Source organism: Homo sapiens, chromosome 3 (assembly GCF_000001405.40).
Source record: "Homo sapiens chromosome 3, GRCh38.p14 Primary Assembly".
In the NCBI taxonomy this organism is placed as follows: Eukaryota; Metazoa; Chordata; class Mammalia; order Primates; family Hominidae; genus Homo; species Homo sapiens.
The window spans coordinates 18027858-18046555 of record NC_000003.12 but is presented as its reverse complement, the minus strand read 5'-3'; the positions used below and the strand labels follow the sequence as shown (position 1 = coordinate 18046555).

The 18698-nt window shown below is 38.0% G+C and overlaps 1 long non-coding RNA gene across 1 annotated transcript in view; it reads right to left on the bottom strand.

Annotated features, from left to right (window-relative positions):
• Positions 1–18698, bottom strand: part of BALR6 (B-cell acute lymphoblastic leukemia associated long RNA 6) — a 306371-nt gene that overhangs the window by 222367 nt on the left and 65306 nt on the right. Inside the window, exon 4 of the long non-coding RNA NR_161333.1 lies at positions 5015–5107. This is a non-coding gene — a long non-coding RNA (B-cell acute lymphoblastic leukemia associated long RNA 6). The remainder of the gene's footprint in view (positions 1–5014; positions 5108–18698) is intronic.

The window sequence follows — 18698 nt, the reverse complement described above, 5'->3', positions numbered from 1 at the left end:
GCTACCCTATGTCCCTGCCATTTGGACCCCTCAGTAGGACAGTTCACAATGTGGTAGTTTGCTATTGCAGAGAAGGCATGTGAAAGGAGTCCAAGAGAGACAGTACAAGCATGGTGAAAGTCGCAGTCTTTTATTACCTAATCTTGACATTGATATTTCATCATTTTTGCCATATTCTATTCATTAGAAGCAAGTCATTGGGTCCAGCCCAAGCACAAGAAAGGAATTTACACAAAGGCTTATAAATACCAGGATTTAGAGATCACTAGGAACCAGTTTAGAAGCAGCCTACTATATAACTGAATTCCAGGAAATCATGAAGATGGGAATTTTGTAAACGGACTTGTGGATCAAACCTCAAAATGCTAGGCCACAGGAACCAACTTTTGAAACTTGAGGAAAGCAGTTTTTTTATTCAAATCAAACAGTGATCTTATTGTCCCAAAAGTATAACAAAGGGTGAAACTATAAATAAATTTTAAAAGGCTTAGGAAAATTCTCAGATGCTGGTTCTATAATGGAATATTAAAGGAGGGGGATGTAAGAACTATGTGCAGCCAATTCCTAATGTTTTCAGAGTAACATCAAGAAAGACAACCTTAGCTCCCTGCAAAATGTCCCTCAGAGGCAGGCAAGACGGACCATTGGCCTAATCCGTTGTGGCATTTCTTATATAGTTATGCATAACACTATGTGGGAATGCAATAAAAATTTAAACAAGGTAATAGAGTTCAACAAAATAGGAGGATGCGGCTTTTGAAAAATGGAGACATGGCATTCCTACATGGTCTTTAAGACATTTGATGTGCCAGTGCTCTTTCATATTAGCTTTATCCACAGAAGCTCTTCTAAATCAGAGCTTCAAAAAGCATGTCTTAGTTCCTCACAGAATTAAGGAGACAAAAACAGGGTTTTGTAGAGTATTACTGTTAAAGAGAGGAGGAAAATATCTGACTCCATGTGACAGGGCTCTCTTTTATACCTGCATTATGTTCAAGTGTTTAAAATGGCAAAGCCATCTATTTTGCCCTGAGGCAATGTCTAAGTAGATATTTTAGGCATACACTTGGGGTTTGGGGGGATTTGTTTTCCTCAAGTTTATAAAGACAAGAATGAGGATGGGTATATTCAAGGTTTATGCTTTACAATACACATAGTAGGGCAAATAAATGTTCCTTGCTAATGCAATAGCACTTAATTAGAAGATAAACATCCTCAGTAAAAAGAATGAATTTAAAAGTTTCTGCATAAGCAGAGTCTACATTTTGACGTTGTAAGAGCAGTAGTTTCTGTCAATCAACCTGAATTCTCTTTAAGCCTTAAACATATAAGTCACATTGAGAGGGTTATGCATTTCACAAGTGGATTTATATATAAATACTTTTGCTGGCTCCAGTTCAACACAACAAAAGAAGTCAAACATTAGTCTGTATTTGTATTTCTTTGCTGAAGTGTTTTGACATAAACTACACACAATCCTAGCTGAAAAGCAGCAGGCAGTTTGGAACTAACTGCTCCTCACACTTGCATTCTTTGTGATATGATTTTTTCCTACTTGGAAAATTAGAAAGCTATAAGTAAAAAGTTTACTCAAACTCAAGAGAAGAAATTTTAAAAGCAGCATAGCATTTTTGAAAACTGCTAGCTTCACACATAATTTACTTTCTACATCTCAGAATTCCTGTAAGTATTCAATTCCCAAATTCCAACTGCACAATTTATAGTCAGCATTTATATCTTTTGGAGACAGAACGTAATACATATTATATCTAGAAGTCACTCAGAATGCCCATTTCACCAATTCAGTTCTTCCAATGCAGAGAAAAGACATTCTTAGTTAAAACCACTAAACGCCCAGGTAACATTGCAAATTATGTTGGAGACATCTAAGAAAAGGAATATTTGAGGAAATTTTCATACTTACATATGTCTGCATAGAGTTAGAAAAAAAATATCTGTAGATGACCTGTATTAGTCAGTTGTTGCTGCAACAATGTTTAATAACAAACTAACAAACCACCCTAAAATTCATGAACTTGAAGAAACAATCATTTATTCTCACATTCATCAGCAGCATGCTAGCTGCCACTTGGCTAAGCGAGGTTGGAGTCCAGGCTCCAGTCTCCAGGGTAGGTTCAGATCTAATCCACGTGTCTTTTATGTTCCTTGGATTAGCAGTTGCCAGGGGCATGTGGTCAGCTCAACACCTCTCAATTTGAGACCCAGGCTGAAACAGCAGCATGTTATATGAGGCAGGTTGTCCTTCCTGGGGATCTCAAAGTGCAAAAAGGCAAACCTAACCATGGAAGCATGTGCAAAGTCTCCACTTATATCATATACACTAACCTTTCTTTGGCTAAAACATGATCAAGTCCAGAATCTAGGGATGGGGAATTATCCTTTGCCACAGTGAGGCCATGGTAATAAATCAGCCTTTCACACTACCATTTCTGGGTGTTATTACCAACCTTAAGTAATCAATGGAAAATTTCTGCTTTCTTCCAAATTGAGTATAAATTTACTGTTGTACTTAAAAACTAAGAACTCAGAGGGCATATTTAATCAAAATATTCTTATACTTCTTTGCTGTAAATCTGCATACAAAGGGAAATTCTATATTTTAAAAATGCCCATGGTTGTAAGTTTCATATCAAATATAAATTAATGAATATATAAATAAATACATACAGATATAGACACAGATTAAGTTTAGATTTAAATTTAGATATATAACTCTTTTACTATTTTCTTCCTCTTCTAAATTATTTAGTTGGAAGTCAACACTGCTATAATCTATACTGCATTAAGTCCTTAAAAATAGCTTATTATTCCAAAGAGAATAAATTTTAAACAAAACAACATGAAAATAATAAACCAAAAAATAAATGTTAAAATTCAGATTGCATTTTGCTAAAACCAATAATACAGCTGATATTTTTAGTCCCACTGAGACAGGGCAGCAGCTTCAACTTCCGTTAATTTGAGACTTTATATGACAACCCTAAGTCAATGGCCCAACACTCATACACTATTCCTCCAGAATCCTGGTTTGTCTAAACTCCTGTGACCTGATAAGCTAGAAACTGCTTTCGTCCAGATTGTACTCGTTTCTAAAGCAAATGTGTGAGGTTGGCACAGCAACCTCTGTTGCTTGCTTTCTCTGGAGCAAGTTATAAAAAATGTCTATCACAGTATCTGTTCTCTGATGGAGCATAAAAAGTAGTAACACAAACATTTATTTCCAGTCACTCTATAAAAAAGCCTCTCACGGTTAGTTTTGGGTGCAATCACATGTTCCTTTAATGTAAGTTGAGTAGACGGGTTTTGTCTCTTGCAGACTATATCCTCACAAACAATTTTGTTTGTGCACATTTTCCCTTTTGGTATATAACTTGACTGCAAATTCCTTCAGGTCAAGAATTATTCTCTTTGCATCCCTGAAAACACCGTATGCCATGCCTTGTATTTAGGAAGTATTTGATGAATCTGCCCAAATGAACTGAATCTTTGGATTCCACCTCCTATAAATCCATTGGCTTAAAGGAGTATTTACTAGTCTCTCGGGGAAGATAACAATTGTTCTTGACAGCCCTAGGTAAATTATGAAAAATGAGGTAAATTGCCAGAATAAAAGACCAAACTATGAGTCAGATATACTTGGGCTCCAACCAAAATGGCCAGGATAAACCATATTGGCTTCACAACAAACAAATGGAGTTGGACTTTGTCTTCTGTCTTAAAAGAGAATCTTTATTTCCACGAACACGTTTTGGCCGGAATATGAAGAGAGTGTGTGCCCTGGTGAAAAACTGCATTCAATAAAGCAGTGTTGGTTGCAAATGATTTTAGCCATGTAGTAAATAAAAAACTGTGAAAGCTAAGAAACTTAAAAGATACTATAGAAGCTATGTAAAATACATGCTTGTAAACTTACACATAAATTTGGTCAATTTGTTTAAGTAATGACAGTCAAATATCCAAATAACTCGGCTAAAAACTATTAAGATCTTTGTTCTGTGTTCAGAAAATAGCTTAACAAAATTCTTAAGGGAACTGAGTCTACAATGTGATTTTCGTGTAGCAATAACCCACGTAAACAGTGTTTCTAGCTTGTTTTCAGAAGTTCAAAAATAATTGTTAAAAAATGAATTCGCATGTTAAAGATGTGTATCATCATATACTAATTTTGTTTTCACTTTGTTAAAATACACACAGATAAGCACTAAAAATAACCAGATAACAAAGATTGTCATCCCATTTCTTAACAGAAAATGATTACAATTTAAACTAATGTTAAGTTCTTCCTCTCCATATATGTTACCTGACCATCAACCACTCAGAACACCATTAAAAGTCATCCATATAAAGTTATCCAATTAAAAAGTTTTGCTTCACCCATGCCCACACCCACCAATACCCATTTACCAATTAAATAAGCATTTGCCCTTTACACAAATCATCACCTGTCTGATTTTTTGGAATTAAAGTCAAAGGAATAAATTTTTTAAACTTTTTATTATGAAAAATTTTAAACATACATAAACACATTATACTAGTATAGGGTAAGGATTTTCTAACAAGGAGATCCTATTGATTTCAGTCTTATTTGATAGAACTATAAACAGAAACGTAACCTAGCATCCTATTCTCTTTTATGTCCCTGACACTGTTCTTCACTAGAATTCCAAACAGGGAGGAAACAAAAGATATTCTGCCTCCTCCCTGACTCCATTCTTGGATATTTCTGTCCATATCGTTTCCCATCCATCCTCAACTCAACTCAATCTCTCTTAACTCTATGAGGAATTTGAGAAAATTAAAAAGACCTCATTCATTCATTCGTTCACCAACTATTTGTAGTTACATACCAGGAACCGCAATAGGTGGTGGAGTGCCCACACAGAAGTTGGACATAATTTCTATCTCATATGGAGCTAATAGGCTAATGAGATAACAAAACTTAGACAATTACAAAAAGATGTGATAAGTGCTATAATGTGAACATACCACTTACCATTAGAGCAAAGAGGAGGATTCCATCCAGAGATGTAAAGTAGCTGGGTCATCAAGGAAGATTGTTCAGAAGAAGTAATATCTAATCGAAGACCTAAAAGATAATTAGAAATTAACCAGGTGAAGATACAGGGGAAAGTATCCAAGGCAGAGAGAATGGCATAGGAGAACTTACTACATCTGAAAAAAAAAAAAGGTCAAAGTTTAGAATGGTTAGAGCATAAACTTGGCGTAAGGAACAGCACGTTGAGGAGAGAATAAAGGAATAAATGAGGCTGGGGAGATAATCAGGGGCCAGTTTTTGCAGCATCTTGTCTTTCAAGTGAAGGGAGTTTATATTTTATCTTCAAGGCAGTAGGGATCGTATATGAAGACCATGACATGAACAATAGATTTGATTTTAGAGTAATCCTCCTCGCCATATGTGATGAATAACAATGAAGGGAGGGTGGAGAGGACAAGGAGGGAAGAGGGATATGTGAGAGGCTGCAGCAGTATTGCTGGTGAGAGATGATGGTGGCTTCTTCTAGAGTGGAGGGAGTGGAGATGGAGAGAGGTAGAAGGATTCACGGGTTACATAAAGGGGGAAGACAACCATTATTGAACAGTTGGTTCCTGGAGGAGAAAGAAATCATGATGCTCAGGTTCCTGCTTAGCCAACAGAGTAGATGATGGTATCATCTGTTGAGATAAAGAGCCCATTCTGGGCCTAAAGTCACTAGGATATGTCCAGGAGCTATGTTGGAATTAGGATGAACACAACTAGATTGGATAAATGCAGATCCTGGGAATCATCATGGAAGTTTGATGGTCATTTGCCTGACTATTTAAATGTGTCCCCTATTTGGACATTTGCCCCTTTACCACAGGCCACCAACCTGGTGAAGGGGAAAGGAATCCAGGTTAGGAATCAAGAAACTTGGATTCTAGTCCAAGTTCTGCCTCCAAGAAGCTGTGTGGCCTGAGAAAATCCCTTTTAGTCTCTGGGCTTCATTATCTGCAGAATAATATGATTAAAATTATCTCCAAGTTCCTTTTGGGTTTCAACATCCTATTGCTATGGTTCCAGTTAATCTATTCCCTGTTTATTGAAGTTTACTCTAAAAATAATTAGCAAGACATTGAACAAGAATTACCATAGGCAGTAAAGCTCCCTTTGTTCTTTGATATTAGTAATACCTTAAAAAATCTTTTTGATAGTAAAAAAAAAGTATCCTAGGTTGTTAAAATGACTATATTTTATTATTCTACAAGATATTTGGAACTGTATTTTTTAGTTTTCCTGCTGTCTTGCACAGCTACTGACCCATTTTGAAGAATCTGTATAACGCAGTACCTGAAATATAAATACTGAACCTGAATTTTTTAATCAGCTAAAAAACATCAATTAGTATTTGACTCGTCTTTAAAATTATTTTGCCAAGTATTTTCTAGCCTTATTTTTAATTACAAGAGGAAAAGAAAAGCTGTTTCCAACTTCTTTCGTTATTCCTTCTAGAAGAGCTATCAGGTCTTCTTTCTATACCCCTCCCTAACCCCTACCCCTCAGGAAGAAACATTTAATTCTTAGGAAGAAACTTAGAAACAGAAGCCAGTCATGTTTCTTGATAGTAATTTTCTTTGTTATTGTGAGTCCCTTACAGAAGATATATCTGAAATAGATTTGGAGACTGCTTTCTTCCACTGTTATATGGCCAATAGTAGCAATCCAAGTCAACAGGAAATGAAATAAAAGCATATTTGAACACCAGACTTGTATGTCCGATGGCTTCTAGAATATTTCCATTGGCTTGTCTCACTGCCACCTCACACGTTGGGACAGTGCCCAATGCATGGTAATAACAACAGCTATCATTTATTGATTCCTTAGTAGTGCCACCCACTGTACCAGGAGTTTAGCACACATATCTCAGTTTTCACATTAGTCTGTGTATTATCCCCATTGTACAGATGAGAAAAATTAAGACTCAGAGAGTTTCTTCCCCAAAGACCCTTCACGGGTAGAAAGTGGTAGAGCCTGGGGCTCAAACAGATGACATCCAGTGTCAGAGTCTGGACTTTAATAACTGGTCTGCATGGCTTCTACATAACCACTAAATAACTATTATTGTTGAAAAGATGAGTAGATGCATATATGCTGTCATCATTTTATCCCAATAAGCTTGTCCCAGTTTCTTTGCTTTGTCAGTCTCCTTTGCAATCCTATGACTACCGATAGCTTAAAAGTGTTTCCTGCCTGTCTTATATTCATCTGACACAACTTACAAGTCTGGTAATATTCTAGGAGCAGTACAATCTCTTCTCTCTAGAGTTTACATTCCAGAGTAGGAGATGGATAGTAAACAAGTAAATACATAAATCAACAAAGGACTTACAAATTGTAGAAGTGTTTTGAAGGCAATAAAACAGAATAAAGGGATAGAGAGTGACTGGGGGGAGATCTATTTTCCTTTGTCTTCTTGATATTCCCCCTATCTATTCTCACTGCCAGACCCCAGTAGATGTTCGGTTCTTGGAAACCTTATTACCATTGTACCTTCATACCTGTTCTTCCTTCCTCTAGGTTCTTTTGTTTTTTTTCAGTCTATCATGCTGACGTCTTTAGAACAACATCCCTAAATTGTCACTTTCACATATTGCATTTTGCTGTACATTGGGCTCAAACACCTCATTTTACACTCAAGTCCCTCCGTCATCTTGTCTCATCCTACAAATCTAAAACACTTTCCTTCCTTCATCCACAAGTGTCTCTGGAGCATCTCCTATGTGTTAACCATGACGCACTCCTCAACATAAGACATCTGGTCCTTTTGGCCAAGTTTCTCAAGTGCCCTACATACCCCATGCTCATTCCCACAAGCCTGATACCAGAATGGATTTTTCTGCTCTGTCAACCTATTAAACTCTCCTTGTCATCTACGGCCCAGCTGAAGTCTCAGTTTTGCAATTAAGTTTTCTCTATGCCATTCTACACTAATGTCCTTTTCCTTAAAAATCACATTAATTTTCATAGCTTTCCATTCAAGTACATTGCTTTGCAGTGCTCCCTAATCATTGTGTGAATGTGTGTGCTGTACACGTGTATGTGACTGAAGGCTGTACCTTTGTTCAGGACAATAAAACAACTCTTACATTGCTGTCTTATTCCTGAGTGTCAATGATCACAATAGCAGCGAAAATTTATTTAGCACTTAACATTTGCAAGGTACTGTGCTAAATGTTTTACACAGTGTAATTTATTACCCCTACAACAGTAGGGTGGGTGTCACCCTTATTACCCCCATTTGGCAGATAAGGAAACTAAGGCTTGCTAGATGAAGTGACTTGGATAGGATTACATTGTTAGCAAATAGCAACCCGGAATTTAAGTCTAGGATATGTGGTTTCAATGTCTGTAATCTAATCTCTAAGCCATGCTGCCTGAACATGACCCTCAGCATTATTTTATACTCTCATTCCCCAGCTACTTCCCAGAAAGACTCAAGACCCTTTACAGGAAAATGCCCTATGCTGGGGGTGGTGTGGTGGGGAAGAGAAAAGACGTATAACACCAGAGCAGGATTCTGCCTTCTGGGGGTTGTTACTGTAAGGACTCCAGGGGGAAAAGCCATGACCACCACAACTGACAAAGAGGTAAGCCTTCCACTGAGGAACTGGTAGGTAAGAAGTGAGAATATCTTAAAGTCACTGGACAGGACAGCAGTGAGAGTCGCTTTATGGTAAAGCTGACGATACACATCAAGAACCTCAGAGAATCACTCTCAACAGTAAGGGGACACAACGAACTCACTCGGGGTTCTCTGTGAAGGTCAGAGGACTTTTGATAACTATGCTGTAAAATAACTGGAAATAGAAGGAGATGTATTAGACATTTATCGGGGACAAAAAGTGAGCTGTTCAGCAGTTAAGACAATCCTTAATATTTTTTTCTATTTTTAAAATAGTTATTTTATAATGTAGTGTTTAATACTGAATTGGTTCTGTTCTCTGGGAGTCCCACATTAAAACATCTGGTATTTTGCATCTCAGTGTGGATTATTCATTTTCATTGGTTTTCCTCTGGCCGATTTTTTATGATTCCCACTCCCGCTGCCTTCCTACAGCCTTCTGTTATATATATATATACATACACACACATATACACGTAAAGCTATGTGGACACTGTGGAATAAGGCTACCTTTTCTAGGACTGGGCATTTTCAGGTTTGTCTATGACAAGATTGATGGCTGGGAGTGTGCCCAAGGGCCCTGAAGTCCCAGCCAGCAACTGCTTCACTGCTAGAACTTCTGTGGGAGATGGAAGTTTTCAGAGGACTAAATGGAGGAAGAAAAGGTGCTTCATTAACTTGAACCTACCTTTAAAATTAGATGGACTGGACTAAAAGAGGGAAAATTCGGTTCAAAGTGAGGAGAGTAAGTTATGGGTAATAACCATAATCAGCTCCAAAGGTGTCTTCACTGTAGAGACGACGCATTTTTAGAGTTTTAAAATCTTGTCAGAAAATGCCACATAATAATGAAAAAGGCCACACAGAAGCATCTACCAAGGAACATTGCTATCTTTTGATTTTGTTTGTAATTTTTGCTTGGGGCATGGGTTTTAAGTTGTAATTGTCTATGCCAGCTACATTTTTAAAAGTAAAATATTTGTAAAGTCTGTTGTTTTTTTTTTTTTTTTAAAGCACCACACAGTTGGAGTGTGAAATACAAATAAAAAGCTAAAAAATCGTATACAATAAAGATAACAATCACTATTCCAAAAATACAAATGACTATCAAGTTTAATGTAAATATCTCAGCAACTAAAGCAAAAAGGAATTTTAACCAGTTGTACAGTTCTGAATTTAATGACATCATCTGCCATGGAAAGAAAATTATTTCTACTTTGTTTTTCTTGAAAATTTCCTCATTGCCCTGTGATTTCCCACAAATACATGCACTTTCAGAGACTTAAGGGGTTTTTCCCCTTACTTCTTCATATGCAAATGCAAATATCATCCCAAGCATATTGCCTAGTACTCTGTAGTGTATTGAGTTCAGCATGTTGAAACTTTCTGGTTTTGATTAAAACACACACCTGAAAAATTCATGAATGTAATATATTTCCTTCAAGTCATTCCTAAATAGCTCATTCCACCATTACCAACATGTGAAAGTTATGTAATTATGTCCTGAGGAGATGAGGCTCAGCAGGGTGTAAGGTGATAGGCTTGAAGAATAAGTGTTCAAAGACAGCATCTTGCCCAAGAGCCATGTCCTAACACAGACACTGAATCCCAAACTACACCCATTTAGCAACCTTAGAATCAGCCTTCTCCAACTATATGCACTTCAATAGCATGCCTTGCCAAGGAGACAAAACCACTGTTTGTCTCTTTCTTTCATGCACTATCAAGCTTCCATGAATGACATGCTTTTGGTTTTTCCTTAGCTGCTTTTAATAGGTTTAAAACCCTGAGGGTGCTGATATATGATTATATAAACATTTTTTTCAAGATACACATTTTCTCAAGTCTAAATAAATAGCATATATTCAGTCTGTAATTGGCTTTTATCAGGAGCCATTCTCCCTCTCCCTTAAAAACAGTATGGGCTTTGTGGTTCTCACTCAAAGTCCTTAAAGAAGAAAAATATATGTATTAAAGGTACAGTAAGCTTTAGAGTCTTACATCGATTGTTCTCTGCCAAGAATCCCATTTTGAATGTTTTATTTTCCCCCCAAAGTTGTGTAAAGGAACAAAGTGGATATTATTCTTTAAATCTAAGTTTAAACAGCTTAATGAGTGGAGCCAATTGAAGTAAATCATAATTGCTAAACAGGATTAAGTTTACAACAGCCTTGTGAAAGTCTGCAGAAAAGCACAACACGAAAATAGCCCTAGACAACAGAAATGCATTTGTACGGAGCCGCTGTCCCAAGACTCCTTTCTCTAAAATGCCGGTATTATGAATCAATGTGTGTAAAACAGTAACCTTCGTGGGCCTGTGTTCTAACTTGATCCATATTATTTATGTTCCACACTTTATCATATAACTGGCAAAAATTTTCAAATAGTAAGACTCAACATGCCATCATCAGTGATGTACAATCAGGCTGAATTACTTTCTCCTGCATTAGTAAATTAGGGCAATCCCACCCAGTTGTACTCATTTGTCCACCTTTTGTACTACACAATTTTTCTTCAGACTAATGGATTTTATGCAGGTGATCAGAAGTTGTGGGTCTTCTTCTCAGTTCAATTAGCTAAATTATTTCTTGCCATTTCAAATTATAGCCGGAGTCTCCACAAGGCAGCAATTTTTAAAAAATGTAAAGTGGGATTATTTATGCTCAGATATCAGACCTGTAGTAAGAATAGCCCAAACCCTGATAAGATACAGAGAAGGAAAGGACAATAAGTAGGTGAACTGGAACTATTGCCAGACTGCCTGCCCAACTTTATAAGCCCTCTGCCCACAATGATCTACTTGCACTCACTTGCACTCTACTTCCAATCTACTTGGAATTTTACTAAGGCTCTAAGATAGAGCAAACACTTTGGTGCAAGTTTCTCAACAAAGCTTTGTCCAACCACTCTTCTGGCCAGATGCTCAGGAAAAAGGGGTGCTGTGGACTAAAAATTTGGGAAACACTGCATTTTACAAAGCTCATTAGCATATTAAAAGCTCCTAGAAGCCCTACATAAACTTTTAATTTCGTTAACTTAGCTAAACCCCCTGCTTCCCAAAATTAAGAGGACACAGAATCTCATTTTCAACATAACATCCCACAGAACCAATGTTCTGCCAGGATTCACTTTGGGAAACCCAATTTTAGAGTTCCAATTTAGCTTTCTGCTTATGTTGTCTTGACTGATTCAAGCTGGATGATATGTTGTAAATAATCCACTGTACCTTTATGGAGAGTGCCATAATCTCTAGAGCTTGGTGGATGGTTTGAGTTTTATGTAAGTTGGAATTTCTTGTGGGGCTTAAGCTACCTGCTAATTTTGAGATTGAACCATGCATTCACTGTTACATTCTACCTTAGTGCACAGAGTGAAAGGTTTTTGGAGTGTGCCAAGTTGACTTGTTACTGTAACTTCTACAAACACTTAATTTTTGCCCAACATTGAACCTCACTTGACTAGTATTAGGGTAGGCAAAGTGAATTATTTAATACTCCACTTGACTGGTATTAAAGTCTCCACTTGACTAGTATTAAGGTGACCAAAGTGAATTGTTTAACACTCACTCTCACTTTATTGAATCCAGGTCCAGGCCTTCCACAGCAAACAAACAAACAAACAAAAAACCATCCTCGATTAATTACACTAAACTTCTGATTTCCCTTTCTGTGGTCAAGTAACATCCTCAGAACACAACATCCCATCTAATCAGGTAATGTCATAGACCCTTAGCTCCCGAAATTCAGAAATCTGCAAAAAGTGTCTCCACCATCAATGTGATTCAGTGAGGACCTAGCATAATAAAGTCTTAGCTCCAAAATGCTAAGTTTTGCCAGAGCATATGGGGTTATAAAAGCAAATGTGTACTATGCATAATATTATGTCACATTATCGGGCACATTTTTTAAAAAGGCAACACCCACAGGTCTGAACAACTTCAGTTTTATGCAAATTCTGCATGCACTAAGACGTGCTTACTTGTCACTTTTTTGTTGTATCAGCACAGTGCCCCAGGGAGGAATCACATCTCACTTTGCTTTGCCATTATTAGTGTCTACCTTTGTAAATACTCTTCTCACTTGCTAAAGGTTTTCTGGCTCTACACAAGAGTTCTTCATTCACAATCTTCTTTTGTGACTGGCAGAGAGGAGATTCTGTGAGTACAATGATGCAACTCAATCCTCCTTGGGAATTCAATATGCTGTACCATTGATGCCCAACCCCACACGCTTTTTATAATCATAGCCATCATCTTTTTATTATGTCTTGGACTTGAGGAGGCCTGAAAGCAGATGTAACTCATGATGACCTGACTTCAATGAGAGAATGAACCAGGTGGCTAATTGTCTCTAAAACAAATACACTGATAATTAGCAGGAGAGCACAATGCAACAGAAGCCTAACCACCAACCTTTATTTAAGTTAAGCAAATGGGTGAGCAAATGATGCAGCTGCACCACACTTTGACAAGTTAATAAGGGAGCCATACTTCATCTCCTCAGCCACACTAGCCAAAGCATGCCCTCAGGACTTGGTATCAATGATACTAAAACTGTGAACTTGGGAAATTGTCAATGCTTACAGTGAAAACCCCTTGCCTGACTACTTGGTGGAGCCAGGGTTTAAGCTGTTAGATTTTCTCACCTATGGGACAGTGCAGGTCAAATCAAAGACAAAAGAAAATTGATGAGATCTCATCCATACACACTGGAAGTGCTATTAATTGCAGCTCTCTAAGAGTGCTAATTTAGTGACAAAATCATTGCAGATTTCATTTTTCTAGGGTTTAGCATTACTTGGCTTGGGTTAGCTAATGTCTAGATCAGGGTTCAGCAAGCTTTTCCTGTAAAGGGCCAAACAGTAGATATTTTAGTTTTTGCAGACTTTATGGTCACAACTACTTACCTGTGCCATTTTAGTGCAAAATAGCAATAGATAAGACATAAATAAATGGCTGGCTGTATTCCAATAAAACTTTATTTATGAACTCTGAAATTAAGTTTTATATAATTTTCACTTCAGAAATATTATTCATCTTTTGATCCCTTTTCAACTATTTACAAATTTGGTAAGAATACTTCTTAGATCCTGAGCCATATAAAAACAGGCTGTATTTGAACTATGAGCTATATAGTTTGCTAACCACTGGCCTAGATAAATGAATTGATCTTCATTTAAGGATTCAGAGATAACATGGGGTTATTCCTGTTTATTTGTTTCTTAGTTGCACAAGGGAATTCAGTTCATGAGAAAGAACTGAAGCCATAAGAAAGGGCTATTCAAATTACTCGGTTCAGTAAATACATATTGATAATAATCTGCTGTACAAGTCACAGGTCCTAACTAAGGGCCTAGACTCTCTGAAGTAGATTTTGATTCAGAGTTCCAGTAGCAAACGGATCAACCTTAGGGATCAGGCAAAGGGACTCTTCCCTGGATGATTTGTCAATAGGTATTAAAATACACATATTATGTGGCCCAAATTCTTCATTTCTGGGAATTTATCCTAACAAAATAACTAAAATTGTGTGCAAAAATTAAACAACATCAAGGATGTTTTTTACCTTATTATTTACAAAGGGAAAAAACTGGAAATACACAATAGAAATGTCAAACAGTGACATTGTTATTGTCAATGTTAAATAATAGGAACTTAAAGAATTTATGGTAATATTCTATAAAATGGATTATTATGTAGCCATTAAATGTATGATGCATAAGACTATCTATTATGGGCAGGGTGCGGTGGCTTATGCCTGTAATCCCCGCACTTTGGGAGGCTGAGGCAGGTGGATCACTTGAGTTCAGGAGCTCCAGACCAGCCTAGGCATCATGGCGAAACCCTGTCTCTACAGAAAAATACAAAAATTAGCCAGGTGTGGTGGCACGTGCTTAAAGTCCTAGCTACTTGGGGGGCTGAGGCAGGAGAATTGCTTGAGCCCAGGAGGCTGAGGTTGCAGTGAGCCGTGTTTGCACCACTGCACTCCTGCCTGGGTGACAAAGTGAGACCCTGTGTCAACAAACAAACAAAAACTACGTATAGTGAAAGGATGTTCATCTAGGAGAGCAAGCATGTAACAAAACAGTAAAGACCAAATGATCTCATTTTCACTTTTAAAATTGCAGAAAATATCTAGGAGGATAACTAAGGTGCTGGTTTGCATCACTGAGAGATGGTTTACGACTAGTCCTTAATTTCTTCTTCTTTTGTATTATATTTTCTTGTTATTTTCAATTCATTCATTCATTCAAACCATATTTATTAAGCACTTAACATATTCTAAAACATGTTTTTCTACAGTGGAAACATTATATTGTGTAATTTTTTTTAAAAAACTAAACATTTAAAAGAAGAAGTGATCCCCCAAAACTTAATGTAAGAATGTACAAGCAATTGGAGTGAATTGCATGGATGCCCACCTCATAGAGGAGATACTGAGGAAGACGAGGACCAGAGTGACTAAGGCAGACACAGCTGGGAACTGGGTCTAAGATATCTAAAGCTACATGGTGAACAACTGTTAGCCATACTGCAAGTACCTATGCCACCCTTTCTACTATCTTATGAAACCATTTCCCAACCCTATGAAGGGGCCAGTGGATAAGACACTAAAACAAGGCAAAGATCTAGCCTAATAATACTGTCCTATAATGCCCCCTTCTTCTGACAGAGAGAGTGAAAAAATGAAAGAAAGGGAGATTTGGGCAGTCTGCCTATTCAATCTGGAGACTGAAAAAAAAACAAAAAGCAAGTGACTTAATACAATATCCTCATCATGGTAGAGTCTAGACTGCACTAGATTGGGATAATTTTGACATCTTTTGTCAAGCATAAGTATTTTAAAGCACATACGGCAAAGTATCAGAATATGCAGAAGTAGAAATGCAAACATTTCCACGTTTTTCCCACAGACCTCTTTGACTTGCTGGTCTCACTGAGGTATGTATCTTTTTTTTTTTTTTTTTTGAGACGGAGTCTGGCTGTGTCACCAGGCTGGAGTGCAGTGGTGCAATCTCAGCCTCACGGCAACCTCTGCGTACCAGGTTCCTGTGAAATGATTCTCCTGCCTCAGCCTCTGGAGTGGCTGGGATTACAGGCACGTGCCGCCACACCTGGCTAATTTTCTGTTATTAGTAGAGACAGTGTTTCACCATGTTGACCAGGCTGGTCTCTAACTCCTGACCTCAGGTGATCCGCCCCCCTCAGCCTCCAAATGCTGGGATTACATGCGTGAGCCACTGCGCCTGGAGGGTATGTGTCTTTTCAGGCGCTAAGCCTAAATAATTGTTCTTCTGACATTCAAGAGGTCAATCATTTTCTACTGCTTCTGAGATTATACCTTTTGTGTGGTTCAGAAAACCATAGAGATAAGAAGAATTTACAGGGTTATTGGAAGATGAGGACATACAATCCCAAGACCATCATTTATCACATATTATTTCAGCTATGAGATTTTGTAGAAAACTCAGATATAGAACAATTGAATAACAATTGAGCCTGAATACTAAAGTGCATTGCTTTTAGTAAGTTCTCATATGAATTCAGACAGTTAGATGTGGCTTCAAACAAACTGATGCCTTATTGAAAACACAGAGTGTCTATTTCATTTTCTGTATCTCTCTCTTCCCATTGACATTGAATAATTCTCTTCCAGCCGCCTAAAATAATAGTTCTGGTGTGTAGCTGGCTGACAACCCAACATACAATCAAAACCATGCTGGCCAGATATGTGTAACTGCTTCTCAGCCATTGCTGATCCATCTGTCACTTTCCATACATTGGGTTGGAAAAAGTATTCAGTGAGCAGATAAAGTCTACCAAGCATGCATGCATGCATGCACACATCACACACACAGAGACACACATACTTATTTGCCCTGTATGGGATTATGTGGGCGTATGTATTTATCTAGAATATAAGCCAATATTTTTCAACAACAGTTTTATCTCCATTTACATAACAGTTTGTTGTTGTTGTTGCTTAATTTCAGAATAAGCTATCCTTTCTCCTCCTTCCAAGAAGAAAACCAGAAATGTTGCTTTCACTACTGCCATTTTTCAAAAGACCCTCATCTGTACTCCAGGGAGAACCAGGTTGGGGCACAAATATTTGCATCAGCTATTTTGGTTCTATAAACACTCAAAGGAGCAGCAATAGTAGGAACAAAAGAGAAACCTAGAAACAGTTGTTCTAGTCTTTAATATAACACTTAATATTTCCATTAATGTATGAAAATTCTCCAGATGCTGGTTATAAGTTGCATTGCTATTTTTACTTTTATTTTCATCAATAATAATCTCAGCTTTTATTGGGCATTTCTTTTCCAGAGAGCTCTAAGAAGTTTATGGAAATCATTGTTTTACCTTCACACCATCTTTGAGACATAGCCAAGAAGTAGATCATTTTCTACTTGAAAAGATAAAAAGAAATTGGTAGAGATGTCAGCACAGGGAAAGATAACTGGCCTGTCTCCAACCAATTCTCTCTCCAGTTATTGCCACTCTGGCAAACCATGATTTTTTTTTTTCCTTTTTGTTTTTTTTTTTTTTCCCCAAGATGACATCCCCCAGGCTGGAGTGCAGTGGCGTGATCTTGGCTCACTACAACTTCCAACTCCCAGGTTCAAGCAATTCTCCCTGCCTCAGCCTCCTGAGTAGCTGGAATTACAGGTGCCTGCCACCACGCCTGGCTAATTTTTGTATTTTTTAGTAGAGATGGGGTTTTTGCCATGTTGGCCAGGCTGGTCTTGAACTCCTGACCTCAGGTGATCTGCCCTCCTAGGCCTCCCAAAGTGCTGGGATTACAGGGGTGAATCATCGCACCTGGCCGATCTTTTTTAAAAGAAAGTTAGGTCATGTCTTTCTGATGCTTGCCCTGAGGGCTGCAAAACCTTGCCTGATCTGTCTGCTCTGAAAGCATATCTCCTGCCTCCTTCTTTGCTCACTATGCTCCTGTGTTATTAACTGCCCAGGGTTTGGTATCCCAGAATCATTTCCAGTGACAAAAATTCATGTAAGAGTCATTTATGTGGAAAGCTTCCAGAAAAAAACAATAGGGGAACGAGGAAGTGGAACCAGAAAGGGAAGGAAACCAACTGAGATGAAAAATCAAGCAAAGTCCCAAAGAGGACATCTTCAGCTCAATTCCACAGAGAATCTCTGGGAAGGTGACCCTCACTGGGAGCAAGGGAGATGGAGAATTTGTACCTCCACACCCATCAGTCATTGGGAAGGGGCTTCCCTGAGGGATATACATTCCGAAAGCTTCTAACTCTCAGGATTTGCAGGCAAAGTGAATTCTGGCACTCTGAAGGCAGCTCTCCAACAAGGCAATGCAGATGCTGCCACTGGGAGGGAAAGATACCAGATGCTAATAAATCTGAAGGGATATGGGCAGAGCCATGACAGTGCCTGCTACACTGGGCTTCTGTCCTAAAACACTCCATGGAGGTGTCATGAGGCCTCATCAAAGTCAGTTCTCCTGTGAAACTCTCTTCCCCTGGTCCTTTGCACAGGTGACTTCTTTTTCTTAAGATGGCCTCTGATTCATTTTCACCCCCTTCTCTCTCTTGTAAACGGAAGTGAAGCTATCTGTTTAAAGGAAGCTCTCCCTCAATCCATCCCTCCAATGCCCTGTTACATCCTTCTTGGCATTTAACACAATCAGTCATTGTTTGCTTACTTCTTGTCCATTGCCCCAGTGGAATGTAAGCTCTGTGAAAGCAGGGATAGTGTCTGTCTTGTGTCCACTGTATCCTGAGCACCCAGCCCAGCTTCTGATACCCAGGAGGCACTCACTCAACTGGTATTTCTTTAAGAAGTGAATAAGTAAATCATACTTTTTTACACAAAACAAGTTCATGTGCTCTGCTATGGATCGCAATTAACTTTAAGATACCTAAAAACAAACTTGGAAGAATAGAAAAAATTTTCACGGTATTAAAAGCCTAAACTCTACAGTGATATATCGATAAGCTAAGGCCAAAGTAATCCAAGCATTAAAAAAAAAAAAAAGG